Below are 26,601 nucleotides of genomic sequence, written 5' to 3' on the forward strand. Positions count from 1 at the left end.
GGATAAAAAAGCAACCTGCCAGGGAGCTCTGGCCACCCCAAAGGCAGAAGGCATCAATATCTTAGGTGCATGAGGAATCTCTTGGAGATCTCTGGTATAGAACCTCAAGCTATAACCCGTGAAATTCCTGTTGCTTTCACCCCATGTAGTCCATGAGGACCGATAGGGCCTTCAAGGACTACATGGGGTGAAAGCAACAGGAATTTCATGGTGCAGTGGGCAGAGAGGATGCTGCTTTGAATGAATGCATGCTCCTTGTTATTATCTGGAATTTGGTAAAAGTCACTCTCACCTCTTCAGTAGTAGGCTCAGACTGGAGGCCTTCTCAGGCAACTGAATCCTGAAAGACTCTTTGTCTTTTCCAGATTCCTACATATGTAGAATCTTCAGCTCACAGTTCAGCTTCTCATTCACCCTCATGGTCTGACATCATGTGCTAATAGCACAAGAACTTTTTTGTATCTTCATAACACCTAGCAATACTACACAAGAAGGGCCAGAAGCATTTAAGTGCCATGTTTTAAGACAAAGGAAATCTAAGAGTATTGGAACTTCACAGGGTTTTAAAACAAAAATGGCTTTGCTACCTAAGAAAAGTCCAGTGCTCAGTCTGTCTTTAAAACTTGTAAAAGAGAAACTCCTAAAGTTTTAAGAGAGAGAATGAAGTCAACAGCTCAAGCTAACATATTTGTACAATCTTACTCCTGGAAACAGGATGCTGAGTCCCTGCAGCTCCAGGCCAGTTGGTTTTGGAGTTTGCCTTCTTCTGAGCAAAACCAAAGGCTAACCAAGATAGCCCACAACCCGAGGAGATGGGATCCAGAGAGCTATTGTTTATACCATAAGCAAAAAGGAAGAGTTCACAAGCAAAGAGAGCCCAGGGGGGCCTCTTGCAGAGAAAACAAAGACTCCTGCTGAAATGTAACAGAAGATTCCATATCCTTTCCTTCACTTGGACTCCCTGAGAAAGGTTAATCCTGTCACCACCATGAATCTTGATGGGTAATAAAATGTAGATCTGGGTGAGAAATGATGCCACCTAGAGGAAGGCTGGGGAGCACACTTGAGCGATTTCAGCTCGTTTTTCTATATTCCTCCCTCAGTCAGTATCTAGGCAGGAGGGCTTCTTGATTTTTCTCTCTGGCCTTGTCCCTCACCTACTCCTGGAGAGCCACATTGCCACTTTCCTATGTTGATACATGCTATTCAACATCCGAAACTGAATGTGGGGCATGGAGTGCCCTATGGTAAGGAATGTCGAAGATACAGCTAAGGTGAGAAAGCCATATGTAAGAAGAGCAGTTGGCCATAAAGAAGAAAGTATATGTCGACATGTCTGTAATTTATATGTACGTATATGTATATCTAATTTGAAGCTTCTTATAACTTCATAGGCTAGCAAATAGCCAGGTGCAAAAATAAATACCTGAACCTCAAAATAATTATTTTCAGATTTCTACTGCAAAAGTCACTCTGGAGAGACACATGCGTGGGTGAATTTCAGCATACTCTCTCTTTTCCTTTTTCCCTTTGTTTTTGTTTGATTGATTTATTATAACCTCAAGGCAAAAATATGAAATGGGAAACTTGGTGTTTAGCACTCCCAAGTGTCCCTCCACCACCACTAGAGCCCATTTTTAATTTGTGATACCCTTAGGAGTGTCTTCCAAGAAATGTTCTGATTCTATATCTCATCCTCTCAGAATCTCTCATTCTTTTTAGTGATAAAGGAAATAGCTAGCTAACTTGCTGATATGGTTAGGCTTTGTGTCCCCACCCAAATCTCATCTTGAATTGTAATCCCCATAATCCTCATATATCAAGGGAGAGACCAGGTGGAGGTAATTGAATCATGGGGGCAGTTTCCCCCAAGCTGTTCTCATGATAATGAGTGAATTCTCACAAGATCTGATGGTTTTATAAGGGGCTTTTCCCCCTTTGCTCGGCACTTCTCCTTCCTACTGCCTTGTGGAGAAGGTGCCTTGCTTCCCCTTCACCTTCTGATATGATTTTAAGTTTCCTGAGGCTCCCCCAGCCATGCTGAACTGTGAGTCGATTAAATCTCTTTCCTTTATAAATTACCCAGTCTCAGGTAGCTCTTTATAGCAGTATGAAAACAGACTAATACACCTGCCAAAGTGAAAGAAAAATTGATCCTACCAAGAAGGAAGAGTTAGAAGAGCCAACAGTTAACTAGGAGCCTCCTTCCTTGGTTAACCGTGAAGACTGTCCACTCCTCTGTGAATTATTTTGTTATTTAATCCTAAAGATAAATGCTAATAAAGGAATTGAAATATCTAGCAGGATGGCCTCCATTGGCCAGTGAGGGAGGATGAGGTATGGAAATTGTTTTTCTGTTTTGTTGTTGTTTTTAACCTTCCCATGTGATTCCTAAGTGCAGCCAGGGTGAAGAACCACTGGGAGAGATGAGTTTAACATACTGGAGAACATACTGGAGTAAAGATCACAATGAATTTGTTATATCAACAACTTAAAACTCTTCTGCTGAGCACATCTACAGAGGTGCTATATACACCTCTGTTACACGAAGGCTATACATTTCCTAATTACTGCTATTGTGGAAATATTGCTTCACTCATTGTCTTCAAATATGTAAATACAAGGGAACTAAATTTATTCCAGACAGTTAAAGATTCAGAATGTGTTATTCCTCCCAGAACAATGACACCGAGGACATAATTTTTCCTTTGAGGCCTTTACCTATCCCGCTGCTGAACCATTTATGTGCCGTCTTTTTTTTTTTTACAGAATCTTGCTCTGTCGCCCAGGCTACAGTGCAGTGGTGCAATCTCGGCTCACTGCAACCTCCGCCTCCTGGGTTCAAGCAATTCTTCTGCCTCAGCCTTCCGAGTAGCTGGGACTACAGGCGCATGCCACCACGCCCGGCTAATTTTTTGTATTTTTAATAGAGGCAGGGTTTCACCATGTTAGCCAGGATGGTCTCAATCTCCTGACCTCGTGACCTGCCCACCTCGGCCTCCCACAGTGCTGGGATTACAGGCGTGAGCCACCATGCCCAGCCCCTTTTTTTGTTTTTATTAAGTTCTGGGATACATGTGCAGAACATGCAGGTTTGTCACGTAGGTATACATGTGCCATGGTGGTTTGCTGCACCTATCAACCCGCCATCTAGGTTTTATGCCCCACATGCATTAGGTATTTGTCCTAATGCTCTCCCTCCCTGTGCCCCTCACCCCTCGACATGCCCCAGTGTGTGATGTTCCCCTCTGTGTCCATGTGTTCTCACTGTTCAACTACCACTTGAGTGAGAACATGCAGTGTTTGGTTTTCTTTTCCTGTGTTAGTTTGCTGAGAATGATGGCTTCCAGCTACATCTATGTCCCTGCAAAGGACATGAACTCATTCTTTTTTATGGCTGCATAGTATTCCATGGTGTATATGTGCCACATTTTCTTTATCCAGTCTATCATTGATGGACATTTGGGTTGGTTCCAAGTCTTTTCTATTGTAAATAGTGCTGCAATAAACATATGTGTGCATGTGTCATTATAGTAGAATGACTTATAATCCTTTGGGTATATACCCAGTAATGGGATTGCTGGGTCAAATGGTATTTCTGGTTCTAGATCCTTGAGGAATCACCACACTGTCTTCCACAATGGTTGAACTAATTTACACTCCCACCAACAGTGTAAAAGTGTTCCTATTTCTCCACAGCCTTGCCAGCATCTGTTGTTTCCTGACTTTTTAATAATCGCCATTCTGACTGGCATGAGATACTTTCTTGTATGACTCTCCACAATGTACTCTTCATTAAGCACTTTGCTGCTGAAATGCCACCTCTTGCCTTTTCAAATGTTAAATTATCTAAATATATTGTTATGGTGTCAATGTTTTTCTATCAGTTTTCTCTCCTATCCCATACCCACCTTTGATTCATTTGAAAAGACTTGAGAAATGTCTTACTACTGACACTGCTGCATGTAGCTCTTGCTTATTTACCCATCTAGGGAAACAGGATGTATTTCCTTTCTTAGAAAAGCCAATTTACAGATTACACTAAAATACTACTCCTTCTGCATCACTCAGCTTTTTAACTTGGTAAGTTTTAAGAAGTTTCAACAGCAAAGTTGTTATTCAATGGGCATGATGGACTACAAGTGCCTTGAGTTACGTGTATCTGCCCTAGATGTAAACTTCATTGCTTTTTGTTGGATGATATTTTAAAAGGATATAAAATAAATTGGTCTAAAGGCCAAAAAAAAAAAAAAAAGAAACTAGAATGGAAAGTTCCTGTTGGAGAGAGAAGACGGAAAGCTTATTGACAATGGAATAATGCTTTCAACATGGAGAGGAAATTTTCAATCCTATACCCAACAAATTATCAATTAAGGTCTCCAATTATTTCCCATTTATCCCTTCTCAGTAAGCTACTGTAGAATATATTCTATCAAGGAGAAGTAACAATCCAAGTGAGAAAAAGACGTGGAATACAGAAAACAAGAGATCCAACACGACAAAGGTAAAGTTAAGTCTCAGGATGACGGTGAAGGTAGATGCCAAGATAATGACCCTGCACCAGGGAAAGGAGGGCAAATCGTCTGGTTCTAGGAGAGATTTCTTCCAGATGAAATTGTTAGAATTCTTCTTATCTGGAAGTCTACAGAGATTTAAGCAATTAGTTGGAGAGCCTGCGGTAGAATTAGCGGTAAGTACATAGAAAACCAAGCAAGTGAAAGAAACACAATTATTAGCTCCAGTGGTTTAAAAGTGCAGAAGAAAATGAATCACTTGTTTTCCCACTACATTTCAGCTCTGAATAGCAGTTATTATAATGTAAAGACTTATTGATCTAACTATGCATTTATATTGAGAGGATGAGAGGTGTCCCTGTGTACACTGAAAAGTTGATAAAATCAAGAAGCAGGGATACAAGCATGTTATTTAGATACAAGATGGTAAACACCAAAACAATCAATTAAGAGTTAAAAGTGGTTGCCTCTGAGGCAGAGGAAATGGGGAGGATGAAGGCAGTGGATAGCTGTTTTTCAGAGACTTTGTAGAATAGCAGCCTTTAAACCTGTGCTTTTCAAACCATGACTTACAATCTCTCTGGAGTGATGCTGCCCAATATGGACATAAAAATAAAAATCCAGTTCCTCATACTAACGACATTTAATTTTTTAAAGATCTCTTAAATTTTTGTTATTTTATTTTTATTTTTTTTTAGAGCTGGGGTCCCACTACGTTAACCAGGCTTGTCTCAAACTCTTGGCCTCAAGCGATCCTCCCATCTTGGCCTTCCAAAGTACTGGGATTGTAGGTGTGAGCCACCGGGCCTGGCCAACAATAACCACATTTTAAATCATCCACAGCCACATGTGGCTGGCAGCTACTACAGTGGATAGTGCAGATACTGAATATTTTCAACTTCACAGAAAGTTCTATTGAACAGCACTATTTTACAGGGTAATTAAATCAATTTAGTGAGTAAGAGCCAACATTTAAATAAATGAAATAGAATAGAAAACCAGTGTGCATCTCATTAGTATTGTTTTTTCACAAAATATTTTCATAAAATATGTGTGCACAGCATTGTGGATCACAATAAAAAGAAGTTTGGAAGCACTCCTTTACATTATGTGTGCAAAACCCTGATTAAAATTTAAAAAAACATTAAGGGTCAGGCACTGTGGCTCACATCTGTAATCCCAGCGCTTTGGGTGGCTGAGGTGGGAGGATTGCTTGATGCCAGGAGTTCAAGACCAGCCTGGGCAACATAGCAAGACCCCATCTCTAAAAAAAAAAAAATAATTAGCTGGGCACGCTGGAGCGTGCTTGTAGTCCCAGCTACTTGGGCGGCTAAAGTGAGAAAGAGGATCGCTTGAGCCCAGGAGTTCAAGGCTGCAGTGAGCCATGATGGAGCCACTGTACTCCAGCCTGGGTGACAGAGTGAGACTCTATCTCAAGACAAAAATACATTAAAAAAAAAAAAAAAAAAGAGTCACAGACTCCTTATACCTAGTAGAATCCTCAACTTCTTGTGATCCATAGCCTCATAGCCCTATAGGAAACTCAGAACCTAGGGCATCATTTAAGAAAATAGAGCTTGGAACAGTAATATCACAATACTAAAGCTAGACATGATGGACCATAAGGACTATCATGTTCCCTATTTCTTTTGTCATTTGTCTTTCCCTTTTTGCAAAAGGCATCATTTTTGAATTTTTGTTTGTTTGTTTGTTTGTTTTTTAATGGGAAGAAGAAACTAAGGCTAAGGCTAAGGTTATGAGATTGGCCCATGGTTACAAAGCTAGTGTCAATAAGCCCAGGTCTCCTGACCTCTAGATCTAGAACTTTTTTCACAAAATCTTCAGGGGCAGTCAGTTCTTTAAGGCCCTGAGTATGCTAGTCAATACTTTAAACAACCTGACTGATGAATAGTGTCTAGGTACAATAATAATTATGATAATAATAGCTAACATAAGCTATTGTTCTAAACACTTTACATTTTAACTCTCACAACAATCCTATTAGGCAGATCCTATTATCCATCAACCCAATTTTTCCAGATGAAGAAATGCAGCTCCAAAATGTTAATTAATTTGCTGAAGGTTACACAACTACAGTGGCAAAGCCAGGAAATAGAGCTCTTAATGCCATTTTATACACACCCTCATATAACTCAAATTAATTTCTCTCTAAAATATTAATTAGCCTAAAAGTAGCAGTTATAATTTGGTAGCGCCCACTGATAATCCATGTTTTGTCCCAAAGTATCAGTGTTACAAAGGGGTTTTACTCTATTGACTGGACCAAAGTAACAGTTTGGGATTCAAATACTCTGAACTAATGGATGGGACTATACAAGCCGGTTTAACTGCTTAATGCAATTCCATAAACCTGGAGATGAGTACTTTAAAAATATGTGTTTAAAAGTTTGGTTAATAATCTTCAAACTTGGAGATTTTATCTCAATGCATAATGAAGTACAAATTGGCTTGATAACATGGGTGGATTTATTTCTTAAGATTTGAGTGCAAACTTAAAAACAAGAACAAACAAAGCTTTTCATCAAGAATAAACACAAAATCTAAACAATTCTGCAATCATGCATTTTAACAGAAAGTACAAATATGAATACATTATAATTTGTAACTGCATTTAAAAATTAAAATATTTCTCTCCAAATCCAAAACACCACACAATCTTTATCTGTTCTCATCTTGTTACCTTAGAAACATTTGTCATATGCTATCAGGAAAATATAGGCAAGACTTACTAATCAGTTATTCATGATCAAAGAAACATGATTCTCCTTAACTGTGACTTTTTGAATCATTTATCTGTATTTCTGAAATATCACACAATTATACCTCTACTCTAGAGAAAAAAAGAATAAATACAAATATCAAGGAGGCAGGAACATTCATGGAATTAAAGCAAAAGTCACAAGTGTTTGACTTAGAAATGTACATATTGTAGTAAATTTTTAAAGTACAACTTTAGTTGATGGCTGATGTGTATGTAATAACTGTGAGCAATTTAAACAGGTATAAAAATGTGAGATCAAAATCTTTAGGCTTAAATACTTGAAAAGTCACTATGGATATGGAAAGATTTGTTTACATAAACATGTATATTTTTAGATGGAAAATCAAGGGGTAGTGGCATCTCCCTGGTCCCTTAACAATATTTGGATTTTTGCAAAGAATTAGCAGCACCCAACCTTAAGTGTTAATTATGTGTTTCTAAAGGACCTATAACAGATCAGTTGGCAGTGTTCTAGCTTTTGGGAGTTGGGGGCAGATTGGGGGTGCAAATATCTGAGATAAGATAGTACATGCACTCACACATTTAAAATCACCATTCTAAATGGGAAAAAAAATCACATATTGGAAAAGTCTAAGAAACTCATTCTTAAGGGATAAACAGCAGGGCAGGAATAAAAGCTGAACAGTAGTCTACTTGATAATAATGGTATTTCACTCTTCAAAGGCAAGTTGGGAAGAATGAGAATACTCACATACACATAACTTCAGGGAAAACTTGCCTAAAATTTTACCTTGCAAAACGCTGAACAGAAATCTTTACAAAAACCTTCATTCTTGTTTATAATACTTGATTTTTCCCTTATTACCACCATATACATAACATTTAAGTATTTTCTTCATAAATATTTTAGAGCAAAAAGAATGTATTTTGTTGCAATGGTGGCCCACATCTGTACAAAACAACATAAGCAACACACACACACACATATATATATGCATATATATAAAAAATGATTAAGAAAAAGTGCAAAGAATAACAGTATTAAGATTTTTTGCATTTTACAGTAACTATGGTTCAAGTGTGAATATTTATCAGGGATATATAATCCCAGGTTTTAATTAAAGATTCAAAAAGAAACCACACTCCCAAGTTACTGCACAAACATCAGTCCCTTATCAAGTAACTCTGCCCTTCTCCCAAATCTAGTATTTCCAGTTTCTAAGCTCTTCCCAAACAGGAAAAAATGATAACAGTGTTTTCTTCCCTTTAACTTCCCAAAACTCATCCAAGTTAATCACCTGTAAGTTCAAGCAAGATATTGGGGAAGTCATTCATTATAACCCGCTTTGCTAAAATTAAAGCAAAATGAAAGGCTTTCTGAAATGCAAACTACTGATCAAGAATAAAATCAGCAACAGCAAACAGACCTTAAATTACAAATGTAATTTAATACATGTACATTTTAAAATCAATCCCTGTTATCAAAGATAAATTCAGAGTTTAAATCTCTTTCCCAGGTTCAGTGCTGTGCAAGGGTTCTAATTCCAAATACTTATGATTTTATCACCTTTTCTAAGAGAAAATGTTTGCCTGTTAACTTTTTACCTTCCTTGCTCTTGGTCTCAGCTTTTCAGTTTGAATAAACACAGAAAGGCAATTTTCAGCATTTCAAAAAATGTACTTTCCTCTTAGTCATTCAAATAATTACAGTTATTTTTAGATCTCAAAGTTTCAAAAAAAGCAGCTCAATTTCCCTTTAAATATATTACTAGATATTTTTTGGTGTTGTATATGTTGTTCTATTCTTATTTTAGGCACTGTAATTATTCACAACATTACAATGACTCTATATCTAACCTATGCAACAATTATAATCTTAATACCTTCTAAGGTATTATTTGATTTTGTGTATTATATTACTATTGAATTTTTCCTTCAAGATAAATGGTTGGAAGAGAATTTTAAAGCCCTGCAGCACTTTTGCTTTGAGTAGTGTTAATACATATTTTCTGTCATGCTTAATATTTAAACTTCTGAAATAGGAAGACAAGAGGCATTGGAAGCTGCAAATTTCCTCAAACTACATTCTACTCCAACTCCAATTTATTTTGTTCAACATTAAATATTTTTCTTTACAAAAACAAGTATATCTTAGGCTAATTTTTAAAAACAGAATTTCTGCTCTATAATAACACAGCTAAAGGGAAATAACTTTTCAATTTCAGCTGCACTAGAACTATGCAAAACTAAGTTAAAGTAAACCGGACAACAATTTTAATAACTTTTGGTTTTGTTTTCTTTTTACTCTATCTTTAGAATGATATACCTTACATTCTAACAGTTCAACAAAGGCTTAAAATTCTAGAGGTTGAAAACCACCAGGCTACCTCCTGCACAACTGTCAATAAGACAACAACATTTTATTTGCCCCCATACATTCGTTCAATGTCTTTGAGGTAATGGTTCCTCAGCTCCTTCCTTTTCAGTTTGAAAGCATCAGTTACCAAACCAGTTTCAGGGGTCCATGGCTCTGGGCTTAATCGAACCTTGATTGGAATTTCAAATCGCTCCAATTTCACTGAAATTAGAAGTGAAAGATGGGAGAAAAGGAGAGGGGGGGAAAGAGACGAGAAAGGAGTGGGGACGGGGAAAGAAGGGGAAGGAGAAGCAATTAATAAAATATGAGTTTTTCAGGATTTACCTAGATGATTCGGGTGTTGAATCACCAATCACCACAAACTTATTTAATGGTATACTAGATAGTTTATTAATGCTACCTCTACCTTACAATTTCATTTTATATTTCTCAAAGTATACCTAAGTTGTTTCAGTTGGATAGTTTTAGTCTATGTGGTTATTAAAATATACATACATATACACATTATTTATACTCACACACACACACATACACACACATCTTCCTCTTCAGAGACTTTATATTTGCCTGAGATGGTCTTTCTCAATAAAGTTGTGTGTCACTTCCATACTTTATCCATATGTCTGCTCAAATACCACCACCCCGGAGAGGACATCCCTGACCACTCATAACAAAAGAGAAGGGGGAGGAGCCAAGATGGCCAAATACGAACAGCTCTGGTCTACAGCTCCCAGCCTGAGCGACACAGAAGACGGGTGATTTCTGCATTTCCATCTGAGGTACCAGGTTCATCTCACTAGGGAGTGCCAGACAGTGGGCGCAGGTCAGTGGGTGTGCGCACCATGCGCGAGCCGAAGCAGGGCGAGGCATTGCCTCACTCGGGAAGCACAAGGGGTCAGGGAGTTCCCTTTCCTAGTCAAAGAAACGGGTCACCTGGAAAATCGGGTCACTCCCACCCAAATACTGTGCTTTTCCGACAGGCTTAAAAAACGGTGCACCAGGAGATTATAGCCCGCACCTGGCTCGGAGGGTCCTACGCCCACGGAGTCTCGCTGATTGCTAGCACAGCAGTCTGAGATCAAACTGCAAGGTGGCAGGGAGGCTGGGGGAGGGGCGCCCGCCATTGCCCAGGCTTGCTTAGGTAAACAAAGCAGCTGGGAAGCTCCAACTGGGTGGAGCCCACCACAGCTCAAGGAGGCCTGCCTGCCTCTGTAGGCTCCACCTCTGGGGGCAGGGCACAGACAAACAAAAAGACAGCAGTAACCTCTGCAGACTTAAATGTCCCTGTCTGACAGCTTTGAAGAGATCAGTGGTTCTCCCAGCACGCAGCTGGAGATCTGAGAATGGGCAGACTGCCTCCTCAAGTGGGTCCCTGACCCCTGACCCCCGAGCAGCCTAAATGGGAGGCACCCCCCAGCAGGGGCAGACTGACACCTCACACGGCCGGGTACTCCAACAGACCTGCAGCTGAGGGTCCTGTCTGTTAGAAGGAAAACTAACAAACAGAAAGGACATCCACACCAAAAACCGATCTGTACATCACCATCATCAAAGACCAAAAGTAGATAAAACCACAAAGATGGGGAAAAAACAGAGCAGAGAAACTGGAAACTCTAAAAAGCAGAGCGCCTCTCCTCCTCCAAAGGAATGCAGTTCCTCACCAGCAACGGAACAAAGCTGGACGGAGAATGACTCTGGCGAGCTGAGAGAAGAAGGCTTCAGACAATCAAATTACTCCGAGCTACGGGAGGACATTCAAACCAAAGGCAAAGAAGTTGAAAACTTTGAAAAAAATTTAGAAGAATGTATAACTAGAATAACCAATACAGAGAAGTGCTTAAAGAAGCTGACGGAGCTGAAAGCCAAGGCTCGAGAACTACGTGAAGAATGCAGAAGCCTCAGGAGCCGATGCGATCAACTGGATGAAAGGCTATCAATGATGGAAGATGAAATGAATGAAATGGAGTGAGAAGGAAGTTTAGAGAAAAAAGAATAAAAAGAAACGAGCAAAGCCTCCAAGAAATATGGGACTATGTGAAAAGACCAAATCTACATCTGATTGGTGTACCTGAAAGTGATGGGGAGAATGGAACCAAGTTGGAAAACACTCTGTAGAATATTATCCAGGAGAACTTCCCCAATCTAGCAAGGCAGGCCAACATTCAGATTCAGGAAATACAGAGAATGCCACAAAGATACTCCTCGAGAAGAGCAACTCCAAGACACATAATTGTCAGATTCACCAAAGTTGAAATGAAGGAAAAAATGTTAAGGGCAGCCAGAGAGAAAGGTTGGGGTACCCTCAAAGGGAAGCCCATCAGACTAACAGCGGATCTCTCGGCAGAAACTCTACAAGCCAGAAGAGAGTGGGGGCCAATATACAACATTCTTAAAGAAAAGAATTTTCAACCCAGAATTTCATATCCGGCCAAACTAAGCTTCATAAGTGAAGGAGAAATAAAATACTTTACAGACAAGCAAATGCTGAGAGATTTTGTCACCACCAGGCCTGCCCTAAAAGAGCTCCTGAAGGAAGTGCTAAACATGGAAAGGAACAACCGGTACCAGCCACTGCAAAATCATGCCAAAATGTAAAGACCATTGAGACTAGGAAGAAACTGCATCAACTAACGAGCAAAATAACCAGCTAACATCATAATGACAGGATCAAATTCACACATAACAATATTAACTTTAAATGTAAATGGACTAAATGCTCCAATTAAAAGACACAGACTGGCAAATTGGATACAGAGTCAAGACCCATCAGTGTGCTGTATTCAGGAAACCCATCTCACGTGCAGAGACACACATAGGCTCAAAATAAAAGGATGGAGGAAGATCTACCAAGCAAATGGAAAACAAAAAAAAGGCAGGGGTTGCAATCCTAGTCTCTGATAAAACAGACTTTAAACCAACAAAGATCAGAAGAGACAAAGAAGGCCATCACATAATGGTAAAGGGATCAATTCAACAAGAAGAGCTAACTATCCTAAATATATATGCACCTAATACAGGAGCACCTAGATTCACAAAGCAAGTCGTGAGTGACCTAAAAAGAGACTTAGACTCCCACACATTAATAATGGGAGACTTTAACACCCCACTGTCAACATTAGACAGATCAACGAGACAGAAAGTCAACAAGGATACCCAGGAATTGAACTCAGCTCTGCACCAAGTGGACCTAATAGACATCTACAGAACTCTCCACTCCAAATCAACAGAATATACATTTTTTTCAGCACCACACCACACCTATTCCAAAACTGACCACAAACTTGGAAGTAAAGCTCTCCTCAGCAAATGTAAAAGAACAGAAATTATAACAAACTGTCTCTCAGACCACAGTGCAATCAAACTAGAACTCAGGATTAAGAATCTCACTCAAAACCGGTCAACTACATGGAAACTGAACAACCTGCTCCTGGATGACTTCTGGGTACATAACGAAATGAAGACAGAAATAAAGATGTTCTTTGAAACCAACAAGAACAAAGACACAATATACCAGAATCTCTGGGACACATTCAAAGCAGTGTGTAGATGGAAATTTATAGCACTAAATGCCCACAAGAGAAAGCAGGAAAGATCTAAAATTGACACCCTAACATCAAAATTAAAAGAACTAGAGAAGCAAGAACAAACACATTCAAAAGCTAGCAGAAGGCAAGAAATAACTAAGATCAGAGCAAAACTGAAGGAAATAGAGACACAAAAAACCCTTCAAAAAATTAATGAATCCAGGAGGTGGTTTTTTGAAAGGATCAGCAAAATTGATAGACCGCTAGCAAGACTAATAAAGAAAAAAAGAGAGAAGAATCAAATAGACGCAATAAAAAATGATAAAGGGGATATCACCACCGATCCCACAGAAATACAAACTACCATCAGAGAATACTACAAACACCTCTACGCAAATAAACTAGAAAATCTAGAAGAAATGGATAAATTCCTGGACACATACACCCTCCCAAGACTAAACCAGGAAGAAGTTGAATCCCTGAATAGACCAATAAAAAGTGCTGAAATTGAGGCAGTAATTAATAGCCTACCAACAAAAAAAAGCCCATGACCAGATGGATTCACAGCCAAATTCTATCAGAGGTACAAGGAGGAACTGATACCATTCCTTCTGAAACTATTCCAATCAATAGAAAATGAGGGAATCCTCCCTAACTCATTTTATGAGGCCAGCATCATCCTGATACCAAAGCCTGGCAGAGACACAACCAAAAAAGAGAATTTTAGACCAATATCCTTGATGAACATTGATGCAAAAATCCTCAATAAAATACTGGCAAACCGAATCCAGCAGCATATCAAAAAGCTTATCCACCATGATCAAGTGGGCTTCATCCCTGGGATGCAAGGCTGGTTTAATATACGCAAATCAATAAATGTAATCCAGTATATAAACAGAACCAAAGACAAAAACCACATGATTATCTCAATAGATGCAGAAAAGGCCTTTGACAAAATTCAACAACGCTTCATGCTAAAAACTCTCAATAAATTAGGTATTGATGGGACGTATTTCAAAATAATAAGAGCTATCTATGACAAACCCACAGCCAACATTATACTGAATGGGCAAAAACTGGAAGCATTCCCTTTGAAAACCAGCACAAGACAGGGATGCCCTCTCTCACCACTCCTATTCAACAGAGTGTTGGAAGTTCTGGCCAGGGCGATCAGGCAGGAGAAGGAAATAAAGGGTATTCAATTAGGAAAAGAGGAAGTCAAATTGTCCCTGTTTGCAGACGACATGATTGTATATCTAGAAAACCCCATTGTCTCAGCCCAAAATCTCCTTAAGCTGATAAGCAACTTCAGCAAAGTCTCAGGATACAAAATCAATGTACAAAAATCACAAGCATTCTTATACACCAACAACAGACAAACAGAGAGCCAAATCATGAGTGAACTCCCATTCACAATTGCTTCAAAGAGAATAAAATACCTAGGAATCCAACTTACAAGGGATGTGAAGGACCTCTTCAAGGAGAACTACAAACCAGTGCTCAAGGAAATAAAAGAGGATACAAACAAATGGAAGAACATTCCATGCTCATGGGTAGGAAGAATCAATATCGTGAAAATGGCCACACTGCCCAAGGTAATTTACGGATTCAATGCCATCCCCATCAAGCTATCAATGACTTTCTTCACAGAATTGGAAAAAACTACTTTAAAGTTCATATGGAACCAAAAAAGAGCCAGCATCGCCAAGTCAATCCTAAGCCAAAAGAACAAAGCTGGGGGCATCACGCTACCTGACTTCAAACTATACTACAAGGCTACAGTAGCCAAAACAGCATGGTACTGGTACCAACACAGAGATACAGATCAATGGAACAGAACAGAGGCCTCACAAATAACGCCACATATCTACAACTATCTGATCTTTGACAAACCTAAGAAAAACAAGCAATGGGGAAAGGATTCCCTATTTAATAAATGGTGCTGGGAAAACTGGCTAGCCATATGTAGAAAGCTGAAACTGGATCCCTTCCTTACACCTTACACAAAAATCAATTCAAAATGGATTAAAGACTTAAACGTTAGACCTAAAACCATAAAAACCCTAGAAGAAAACCTAGACATTACCATTCAGGACATAGGCATGGGCAAGGACTTCATGTCTAAAACACCAAAAGCAATGGCAACAAAAGCCAAAATTGACAAATGGGAACTAATTAAACTAAAGAGCTTCTGCACAGCAAAAGAAACTACCATCAGAGTGAACAGGCAACCTACAAAATGGGAGAAAATTTTCGCAACCTGCTCATCTGACAAAGGGCTAATATCCAGAATCTACAATGAACTCAAACAAATTTACAAGAAAAAAACAAACAACCCCATCAAAAAGTGGGTGAAGGACATGAACAGACACTTCTCAAAAGAAGACATTTATGCAGCCAAAAAACACATGAAAAAATGCTCACCATCACTGGCCATCAGAGAAATGCAAATCAAAACCACAATGAGATACCATCTCACACCAGTTAGAATGGCAATCATTAAAAAGTCAGGAAACAACAGGTGCTGGAGAGGATGTCGAGAAATAGGGACACTTTTACACTGTTGGTGGGACTGTAAACTAGTTCAACCGTTGTGGAAGTCAGTGTGGTGATTCCTCAGGGATCTAGAACTAGAAATACCATTTGACCCAGCCATCCCATTACTGGGTATATACCCAGAGGACTATAAATCATGCTGCTATAAAGACAGATGCACACATATGTTTACTGCGGCATTATTCACAATAGCAAAGACTTGGAACCAACCCAAATGTCCAACAATGATAGACTGGATTAAGAAAATGTGGCACATATACACCAGGGAATACTATGCAGCCATAAAAAATGATGAGTTCATGTCCTTTGTAGGGACATGGATGAAATTGGAAATCATCATTCTCAGTAAACTATCGCAAGAACAAAAAACCAAACACCGCATATTCTCACTCATAGGTGGGAATTGAACAATGAGAACACGTGGACACAGGAAGGGGAACATCACACTCTGGGGACTGTTGTGGGGTGGGGGGAAGGGGGGAGGGATAGCATTGGGAGATATACCTAATGCTAGATGACAAGTTAGTGGGTGCAGCGCACCAGCATGGCACATGTATACATATGTAACTAACCTGCACATTGTGCACATGTACCCTAAAACTTAAAGTATAATAATAAATAAAGAAATACACAAAAGAGAAGTCCCTTTGTCTCTCTATACCTTCTTAACACTATGCTTTGTTCAAAGTAGTTATCACCACCCAACATATTATATATTTGTTTCACCATGGAGCTAAAATGTAAGCTCCATAAAAGCAAGGTCTTTGATTTTTTCACTGCCATCCATAGGGTTGAGAGCCCTCCATAAATACATACAAGTTTATTAATTCATTCTACAGAAAATTAAGTCTCTAGACAAATATTCTTTATAAACTTTACTATATATTCAAATGCAGATAAAAAAGGGGATTGTGAATTTCATATCTTTAAATGGTATAAAAACTGATGCAATGAATATTGTATTTGAGTTATACAACTTAATACATATTGGCAAAATATAAGGAAGGACATAAAGGTAATTAATACAGTATTAATACTTTTAAATTCCATAAATTATATGCCATCAAGTTATTTATTATGACTACAAGGGTAATTCTTTAAATTATGGAGGCCTATTAACAGTAATATTAATCAACAGATGTTATGTTAATCAACATAAAATGTTATTTTATGTGATTATTTAAAACAGCAATTGCCAAGAAGCAAACATTCGCACATTTTTAAAAACTACTACAAAATAGCCTAGACGAGTTTAGAAATGATTTGGTTTCAGTGGCAAGCACAAAGAACTCACATTCACCAAAGTTCTTTTCTAGTACTAGTCTACGTTTTATGAAAGCTTGATTGAACTAGTGAGTTTCTCACTAAAATGACAGAAAAATATAAAGTTGAGTATGAAAAATAATCTTTTAAATATAAATTACAACCAACTTCCTAAAAATAATGCCTGAATGGGTCGTAAAGGAACATAAAACTTGCTTGAATTAACCAGGTCTACTCTGTTATTAAAGTACAGCTCAGTTACACAGAGTTTCATAAAATAAGCTTATCTGCTCCCAACGTCACATTTGGAACTCAAGGAAACAGTTAAATTCTCAGCTACAGATTTGGCCCCCCAATTTTTTATTTCATTTTACTTTTCTTACATACATAGGTCCTAGTCCAGAAACACTGACAAAATTGGGACAAGGCAAACACATTATTTCAGTTGCACACAAGCAAATGAAAGCAGGCTGAAAACAATCTTAGTTAAATTCCTACTTTAAAGCCAAAAAAATAAAGACTGCTATAGAAGTTTCATCTTGAAAACTCCTAAACATTATCTAATACTCCAAGCCATAGGAAGCAATGGACTATCACAGATTCCTGTAAATAGAATAAATTGCCAACAAGTGAGAAAGGTTAGGAGAAGGAAAAACAAACAAAACAAACAAAAATGTGGCATTTTTATCTGAATTAACTAGAACATTATGAAATGTGACTTGCAGGTGGCAGCAAATAGCAATTTTCATAGCCATTAGTAGTTGCTCAAATCACCCAAAAACAAGTATTTTGCATTCTTATGATACTATGTATACCTCACAATTATACTTAAAATATGAAGAGGCCTGCTATGAAAGATGTATAATTTCTGACAGATTTGCTGAATACAATCAAAACTATTTCACACTTTTTTGCATAAGTCTCTGAAATTATAATTTGCAAAATGTTGGCAAGATAAATCCTTTGTGGCACAAAAGGTTTATGATTTATACATTTAGCTCATGATTACCACTCATTATCCAAATCATGAGTTACATGCCTCACTCTAAGCACAGGAAAGTTATGAGAACCTAGTGGGTCCTAGGATTTTATTCTGCCTTCTAACAAAGTGGGATACAGTTTGACTTCCCCCATTGTTGCTTCTACACAATTAAATATGCAATGGAAAATTATTCAAGTCACATTCTAATCCATTAATATATTCAGAGGATGAATAAGAGTAACTACAGTGCACCTCTGATGATTAGCCTTTTGGTTGAAATACTATATATTTCTTGAAATACTATATTTAAAGAAAATACTATATTTGAAATGCTATACTTAAATACCTAAAGAAAATACTATATATTTTTAGAAATACTATATTGAGAGCAAATCAGGCTTTGTATCAAAAAAGGTTCTGGGAGCCTGGTTCATTAATATAAAAGTGTGTTATATCAATAATATTGTAACAAAACCACCTTGAAGAAGGAAATATTATGTCACACTATTTTTGTAAGTATAAAATACATGTCACACTGTTTTTATAGGTATAAAATAAATAAGCTTTTTCAATCTGATTATGTTAACAGGCCATTGTTATTTAAAACTTCACAGTGTCTAGAATTCAGAAAATTATTCTTGGGGAGAAATTAGTTTTCAGGTAGAAAAACTATTACTATAAACTATATTTTTAAACCAAAATGTAACCTAAGTAGTTAACATTTTTAATAAATAGAAATAATAGGAGCCCAGTTAGAGAAATAGGTATATTCATATATCTCTGATAGGAATATAAGCCGGTTCAGTTTTCCTGGGGAGAGGCAGCAATTTGGCAATGAGGAAAAAAGTCTTTAAAATATATATTCTTATGCAGCCAAAAGACACATGAAAAAATGCTCATCATCACTGGCCATCAGAGAAATGCAAATCAAAACTACAATGAGATACCATCTCACACCAGTTAGAATGGCAATCATTAAAAAGTCAGGGAACAACAGGTGCTGGAGAGGATGTGGAGAAATAGGAACACTTTTACACTGTTGGTGGGATTGTAAACTAGTTCAACCATTGTGGAAGTCCAGTGTGGCGATTCCTCAGGGATCTAGAACTAGAAGTACCATTTGACCCAGCCATCCCATTACTGGGTATATACTCAAAGGACTATAAATCATGCTGCTATAAAGACACATGCACACGTATGTTTATTGCGGCACTATTCACAACAGCAAAGACTTGGAACCAGCCCAAATGTCCAACAATGATAGACTGGATTAAGAAAATGTGGCACATATACACCATGGAATACTATGCAGCCATAAAAAATGATGAGTTCATGTCCTTTGTAGGGACATGGATGAAATTGGAAATCATCATTCTCAGTAAACTATCGCAAGGACAAAAAACCAAACACCGCATGTTCTCACTTATAGATGGGAATTGAACAATGAGAACACATGGACACAGGAAGGGGAACATCACACTCTGGGGACTGTTGTGGGGTGGGCGGAAGGGGGAGGGATAGCATTAGGAGATATACCTAATGCTAAATGACGAGTTAATGGGTGCAGCACACCAGCATGGCACATGTATACATATGTAACTAACCTGCACATTGTGCACATGTACCCTAAAACTTAAAGTATAATAATAATTTTTAAAAAAATTTATTTGAAAAAATATATATATATATATTCTCTTTGACTCAGAAATTCTGTTTCTAGGAATTCACACTAAGAAAATAATCACATAAGAAAATAATGGAGTATACAAGATTCGTGTTATATTTGTTTACAGTGATGGGGAAGAAGGTGAAATTCACCTAAAAATCTAATAGGGACTTAAATGGCTATTTATGCACTGGGACTATTTAGTATTTAAAATGATACCGTAATTTTCTATTTACTGACACAGAAAAACTTCGATTATGTTGACAGCTTAAGTATATATACCAAAATGTAATCTTGCCACCCAAAGATAAACTACTCTCAAGTGATTTTTACTTCCTTCTTTGTAATATTCTGTTGTCCAATATTTTATAATGAATATAGATAACCTATAATCAGAAAAATGATATTTTTATTTGTAAGAGAAAAACAATGGGTTGAAATTAGGTTAACAGCTTCCAACAAAACACGAAGAGTATATAGTTTTTCTCTGTTCTGCCTAAAAAAGAATTTAAATTGTTTAGAATAATTTAAAAATGAAAAAGGTATTAACCACAAGGCAAAAAGTGAAACAAGAGAAAATGGGCACTGAATGAGAAAGTGCAACAAAATCTTAGAAGACAAAAAGCAAAGGAATTTGTGGTAATTAACTTAGGGCTGAGGAAGCCAAAGCAACTACCAACAAAAGAGGTTGCCAACAAGCAGCAAACTGCCCTCATAGTAGAGCCCGGGCAAGTGCCCACTAAGCCTGTGCCTCTGAAGATAAGAGATGAGGGGTAAAGCTGGAAAGAGCAGCACTGGTCTCCAGCCTGTTTAGAGAAAAGTTCTCCCGCACCCTATGCTGCTCTTCTCAAAGCCATTTGTAGGCAGGTCTACTTTTTGGAAAAACTGAAGCAGAGACTCGGGACTCATGGACATTAGGTACAACAGAAGGAGGGAGTAAGGCTGAAAAGAGAAGGATTCAGTGAGGGTGAGACCCACTGCTCTCCCATCCCCCTCAATAACTCCTTTACCTCTTTTGGCTACCAGAATTCTGGCAGTCAGGCTAATATTGCCCGGGCAAAAGACTGGAGAAATCTCCTTTGGAGAAACAGAATGACTTAAGAGAAAAAGACACTAACGTTGGAATGCCTTTTCAGTGAAGCCCAGTAAGCTTTCCAAACAGTTTTTTAGTACCTGGTTCCTGAATATGGACATACAAGGATCAGCAGACACTTGGGACTCAATGACCAAGGCAAGCATAAAGTGCAACTTGGAGGTAAAAGAGACAATAACAGGAGAAGAAAACTACATAAAAAGGATTCCTTTTAATATCCTCAGAGGAATAAGAGACAATGCATTGACTGCATCCATGAAAGAGCAACAGGGTGCTATTAAAAGGAACACTGAGAGGACAGGAACAAGCTCTTGAAAATTAAAATTCTGATAGTGGAAATTGGAAATTCAGTAGACAGAAGAGATGATAAAGTTGAGAGACTCTGCCAGAATATAAAACAAAAAGAGAAATAGAAAATTTTAAAAAGGATAATAAAATTAGAGGATGAAAGCTGGAAGTCCAACAGCCATATAAAAGTAGTCTCAGAAACAGACACACAGGGTGGGGGGAATTATGGGGAAAAAAACAAATGAACAAACAAAAGATAAATTAACATTTCCCAGAACTGAAGGGCAGAGATCTCCATATGGAAAGGGCCCACAGCAAGTATGCACAATGATAAATGATCAAAGACCCACACTAAGATACATCATTATGAACTATCAAAACACCAGAAATTAACATAATGACTCTGAAAGCTAGGAGAGATAAAATAGATCATACACAAAGGAATGGGAATCAGGATGCAACACTGGAGCTGGAAGACAACAAAGCCAAGTCTGCAAAGTATTCAGGAAAAATGATTTAGAATTTATCACTCTAAAATATGCCAAGACACATCTCAAGGGTGAGGACAGAATAAAAACATATTCAGACACGCAAGCACAGTCTCAAAAATTTACCTCCCATGCACCTTTCTCAGGAAGCTGCTGAAGGATGTGCTCTACCCAAACCGGCGAGTAAACCAGGAAAGAGACAGATATGAGATCCAGGAAACAGGATCCAACATAGGAGAGAAGCAAAGGAAATTCCCAGGATGATAGTAAAGGGAAGCCTTTGGAAGCAAATAGTCTAAATTTCAGCATGAGGATAAAGGGCTCTAAGAAGTATGTCTCCGAGAACAAAAATACAGACATGCTATCCTTTCCTGTATTAGGGAGAATTTTTACAATTTTAACAGAGTTTAGTGGAAGAGTTAAGAATAGTATACAAAAAACTAATGAAGAGAGGAAATTTTAAGATCCAGGGAAACACAAAAAATTGTCCAAGAAAGGAAATATAATCATAAAACACTATGTAGTTCAGCTGTGAATATTTTCATAATCATAACGGAAACCTGGGTGTAAAATGCAAATTGTACTATCTATTGGAAAAGAAAAAGTGTGGTAGGGAAGGCAAGGAGAATGGTCATAAGAAAGGTAAATCATCTTCTATGGTTAGAGGTCCATAAAAGTCCATAACATCGCAAATGAAAAATTCAAGAAGGAGCAACATAACCATTTTCTTTAGAAAAATGGAGACGAATGCCAGAAACTTTAAAAAAACAACTAAAGTTGAAGACAGATGAGACTTGGGGAAAAGAGGGATACAATATGGGCTGCTTTTTGTTGCAAGTCCTTAATACTGACATTTTTTAAACTATATATACTTGTTATACTGATAAAACTGAAACTTAAAAAAAGGTTATAAAATCAGCCACCCACATGGAATCCCTCGTTGGGAAAAAAGAAAAAAAAAAAGCCTACTATTGAACTTGAGCATTAATTTTTAATCTCTTTAATTTTCCAATCAATGTTCCAATAAGCTTTGTCAGTCCTTTCTGCTAATGTAAAACTGTTGATTACTCTCTTTCCTGAAACTCTCTTAGCAGTGGTCTGCATGGGCATTGCTCTCCTGGCATCTTGCCAATCATGCTTCCCACACACATCTCTTTCTTCATCCATTCCTTATATGCTGGTGTTATCCAGAGACCCATCCACAGCCTCCTGTTCTCCCTTTACAATCTCACCCAAGGTTGGCCCATCTACTTTCGTGGTTTCAATTATCCCCGAGTCTATAGCAGAGTCCAGGCCTCTCCCAATAAGATTTGGACTACACACAACCGCCTGCTGGACATTTTAACTTTGATTATCCAAAACGTGTTTTTTATTTTTATTTTTTTATACTTTAAGTTCTAGGGTACATGTGCACAACATGCAGGTTTGTTACATATGTATACATGTGCCATGTTGGTGTGCTGCACCCATTAATCCTCATCATTTAACATTAGGTATATCTCCTAATGCTATCCCTCCCCCGTCCCCCCACCCCACAACAGGCCCCAGTGTGTGATGTTCCCCTTCCTGTGTCCAAGTGTTCTCGTTGTTCAATTCCCACCTATGAGTGAGAATATGCGGTGTTTGGTTTTTTGTCCTTGCGATAGTTTGCTGAGAATGATGGTTTCCAGCTTCATCCATGTCCCTACAAAGGACATGAACTCATCCTTTTTTATGGCTGCATAGTATTCCATGGTGTATATGTGCCACATTTTCTTAATCCAGTCTATTATTGATGGATATCTGGGTTGGTTCCAAGTCTTTGCTCTTGTGAATAGTGCTGCAATAAACATATGTGTGCATGTGTCTTTACAGCAGCATTATTTATAATCCTTTGGGTATATACCCAGTAATGGGATGGCTGGGTCAAATGGTATTTCTAGTTCTAGATCCTTGAGGAATCACCACAGTGTCTTCCACAATGGTCGAACTAGTTTACAGTCCCACCAACAGTGTAAAAGTGTTCCTATTTCTCCATATCCTCTCCAGCACCTGTTGTTCCCTGACTTTTTAATGATTGCCATTCTAACTGGTGTGAGATGGCATCTCATTGTGGTTTTGATTTGCATTTCTCTGATGGCCAGTGATGATGAGCATTTTTTCATGTGTCTGTTGGCTGCATAAATGTCTTCTTTTGAGAAGTGTCTGTTCATATTCTTTGCCCACTTTTTGATGGGGTTGTCAAAACGTGTTTCAAACTACATGTATCCCATACTGACCTCATCATCTTCTTGTATATGCCAGCTCTTCCTCTTGTATTTTCTAGCTCAATCAGTAGTAGTATTTACCTTGTCGCTTCAGCTACAAATCTGGGGGCTATCCTAGACTCCTCTTTTCCCTTATCTATGTTATCCAATTAATCACTGAAGTGTGCCAATTTTGCTTCATAAACATTTCCTGATTCCCTGCTTCACGCCCTCATTACTCACCACCCCCCAGTCTAGGTATCTCCTACAGTCCTCTTCAACTGGCCTTCTGCCTCAGTCCAGTCCCCCTCAAATTCATCTGCAGCATGGCCTCCAGAGTGACTGCATCTCTCCAAAATGCAAACCTGACCACATCACTAACCTAGTAAAACCTGCCAATGGCTCCTCACTGTCTACAGGATTACATCCAAATTTCTGAACAAGCATAGAAGGTACTACACAACTTGGCCTCTGCTAACCTCTACAGCCTTACCTCATACTTTGCACTGTACCGGTAACACCAGACTCCCTTGTAGTTCCCTGCACACATCATCCTTTTCATACCTATTTGCCTTTCTCATGTTGCTTCTTGGCCTAGAATGCCCAACCTAGTTAACTTCTAATTAACCCTTAAGGATGAGCTGAAGTGACATCTCTTCCATGTCCTCCCAAGTAGGTTAGGTACCCTCATCTGTGGTACCATGATTCTCTGTTCATCTCTCTATTGCTGTTAAGATTGTTGTCTCTCTCATGTGCCCCTCTCACCTGATAATGAACTACATGAGAGCAAGAAATGAGTCTTACTACTTTCTGTATTCCTAGTGTGTAACACAATTCCTGGCATATACTATATAAGCAGATTTTCTCCAATTGGTTATTAATGTACCATCTGAAGATAGTCCATTTACAGAGCCACAGTATACACACAAAGCATAATCATGGTTATAACACTATTTACTAAACTTAGAGTTACTAATTTCTGCTTTACAGACACAAAGTAGATTTATATAACAGATCTACCCAAAGATGGACCATTCCAAACACAGGCTAGATGACCACTTTGGGAAAGATGTTGAAACATGCAATAAAGAACTACATAGGTTATTCTACTATATGACATTGAAGGATCCTTCCAACATGGAAATCCATTATACATATTTAAGAAATAGGTTTCTTAAAATCCTGTATTTTATTATTAAAGCAAACATATTGAAGAGCCTAATGCAAAAGACATCATTAGATGACTTTTAGGGACTATACCAGTCTAGCAATTTCTTACTTACTGGCATTTGCAGCTTCTCGAATTTCTTTCAGTATTTCAGCTTCCATAGCAGGATTATTGCAGATATCAACCCAAGTTCCTTCTACCCCTTTCTGTTGTGCCAAAAGTGTCAACCTTTTCTGGTTAGGAACCACAAAACTGATCACATAGGACTGATCACTAAAAAAACAGAAAATAAAATAGAAATGAAAACATTGAGAAAAGTTATTCATAAACTAGTCAATGACATAGTACAGTACAGATAATTCCAAATATATATTTCTCTTATTTATTAAAGTTTCATTAGGAAATGATAAAACCCATAGTACCAGCATAAAGAAGGACATATAGACCAATGGAATAGAGAAACTAGAAGTAAACCCTTGTATCTATGGAGAAACGATCTTTGACAAGGGTGTTAAGACCACTCAATGAGGAAAGGACAGTCTCGTCAACAAATGGTACTAGGAAAACTGGATATCCACATGCAATGAATGAAGGTGGACCTTCACCTTACAACATATACAAAAATTAGCTCAAAATGGATCAAAAATCTAAACATCGAAGAGCTATTAAGTCGGTGCAAAAGTAATTGACATTAATGGCAAAAACCAAAATTACTTTTGCACCAATCTGATAAAACTATAAAACTGCTAGAAAAAAAAAAACAGAAGAAACACTTTATGAGAATAGATTTGGCAATATTTCTTGGGTGTGACACCAAAAGCAAAGGCAACAAAAGCAAAAAACAGATAACTGGGACTACAACAAAACTAAAAACTTGTGTGTATCAAAAGACTCAATCAGCAGAGTAAAAAGGCAATCTATGGAATAGAAAAAAAAAATTTGCAAATCATATATCTGATAAGGGGTTAATAAACAGAATATATAATTTCCACAACTCAGTAACAAAAAACCAAATAGCTCAATTAAATAATGAACAAAGAACTTGAATAGACATTTCTCCAGCGATAATATATGAATGGCCAACAATCATAGGAAAAGGTGCTCAGTGGCACTAATCATTAGGAAAATACAAATCAAAACTAAAACAAAATATCCCCTCACATCCATGAGGATGACTACTATATAAAACAAACAAGTGCTAGTGAAGAAGTGGAGGAACTAGAATGTTTGTGTACTGTTGTAGGAAATGTAAAAATGGTGCTGTTGCTATGGAAAACAGTATTGCAGTTCCTTAAAAAATTAAAAATAGAACTGTCATATGATCCAGCAATTCTAAATCTAGGTATCTATCCACATAATTGAAAGCAGGATCTCAAAGAGATATTTGCATACGCATTTTCCTAGGAGCATTATTCACAACAACCAAGAGGGGGAGGCAACCAAAATGTGCACTGACAATGAATATATAAACAAAATACATTATATGGATACAATGGAATATTGTTAAGCCTTCAAAATGAAGGAAATTCTGACATATGCTACAACATGGATAATCCTTGAGGACATTATACTAAGGGAATTAAGCCAATCACAAAAAGGCAAAAACTGTATAATTCTACTTGTGTGAGATTTCTAGAGAAGTCAAATTCATAGAAACAGAAAGTAGAATGGTGGTTCCCAGGGGAAGGAGGGAGGAGGAATAGGAGTTGCTGTT

The 26,601-nt window shown here is 37.9% G+C and overlaps 1 protein-coding gene and 1 pseudogene across 11 annotated transcripts in view; both read right to left on the reverse strand.

Annotated features, from left to right (window-relative positions):
• Window positions 3,763-4,237, reverse strand: PPP6CP (protein phosphatase 6 catalytic subunit pseudogene; annotated as a pseudogene).
• ACSL4 (acyl-CoA synthetase long chain family member 4) overlaps window positions 6,984-26,601 on the reverse strand; it is a 91,923-nt gene continuing 72,305 nt past the window's right edge. For all 11 annotated transcript variants that reach the window (NM_001437252.1, NM_001437251.1, NM_001437247.1 and 8 more), the window contains 2 exons: window positions 25,003-25,160; window positions 6,984-9,835 (listed from right to left, as the gene is read on the reverse strand). In NM_001437252.1, the coding sequence (NP_001424181.1) occupies window positions 9,678-9,835; window positions 25,003-25,160 (316 nt within the window). In that variant the 3' untranslated portion in view covers window positions 6,984-9,677. The remainder of the gene's footprint in view (window positions 9,836-25,002; window positions 25,161-26,601) is intronic.

Source organism: Homo sapiens, chromosome X, assembly GCF_000001405.40.
Source record: "Homo sapiens chromosome X, GRCh38.p14 Primary Assembly".
Classification (NCBI taxonomy): Eukaryota; Metazoa; Chordata; class Mammalia; order Primates; family Hominidae; genus Homo; species Homo sapiens.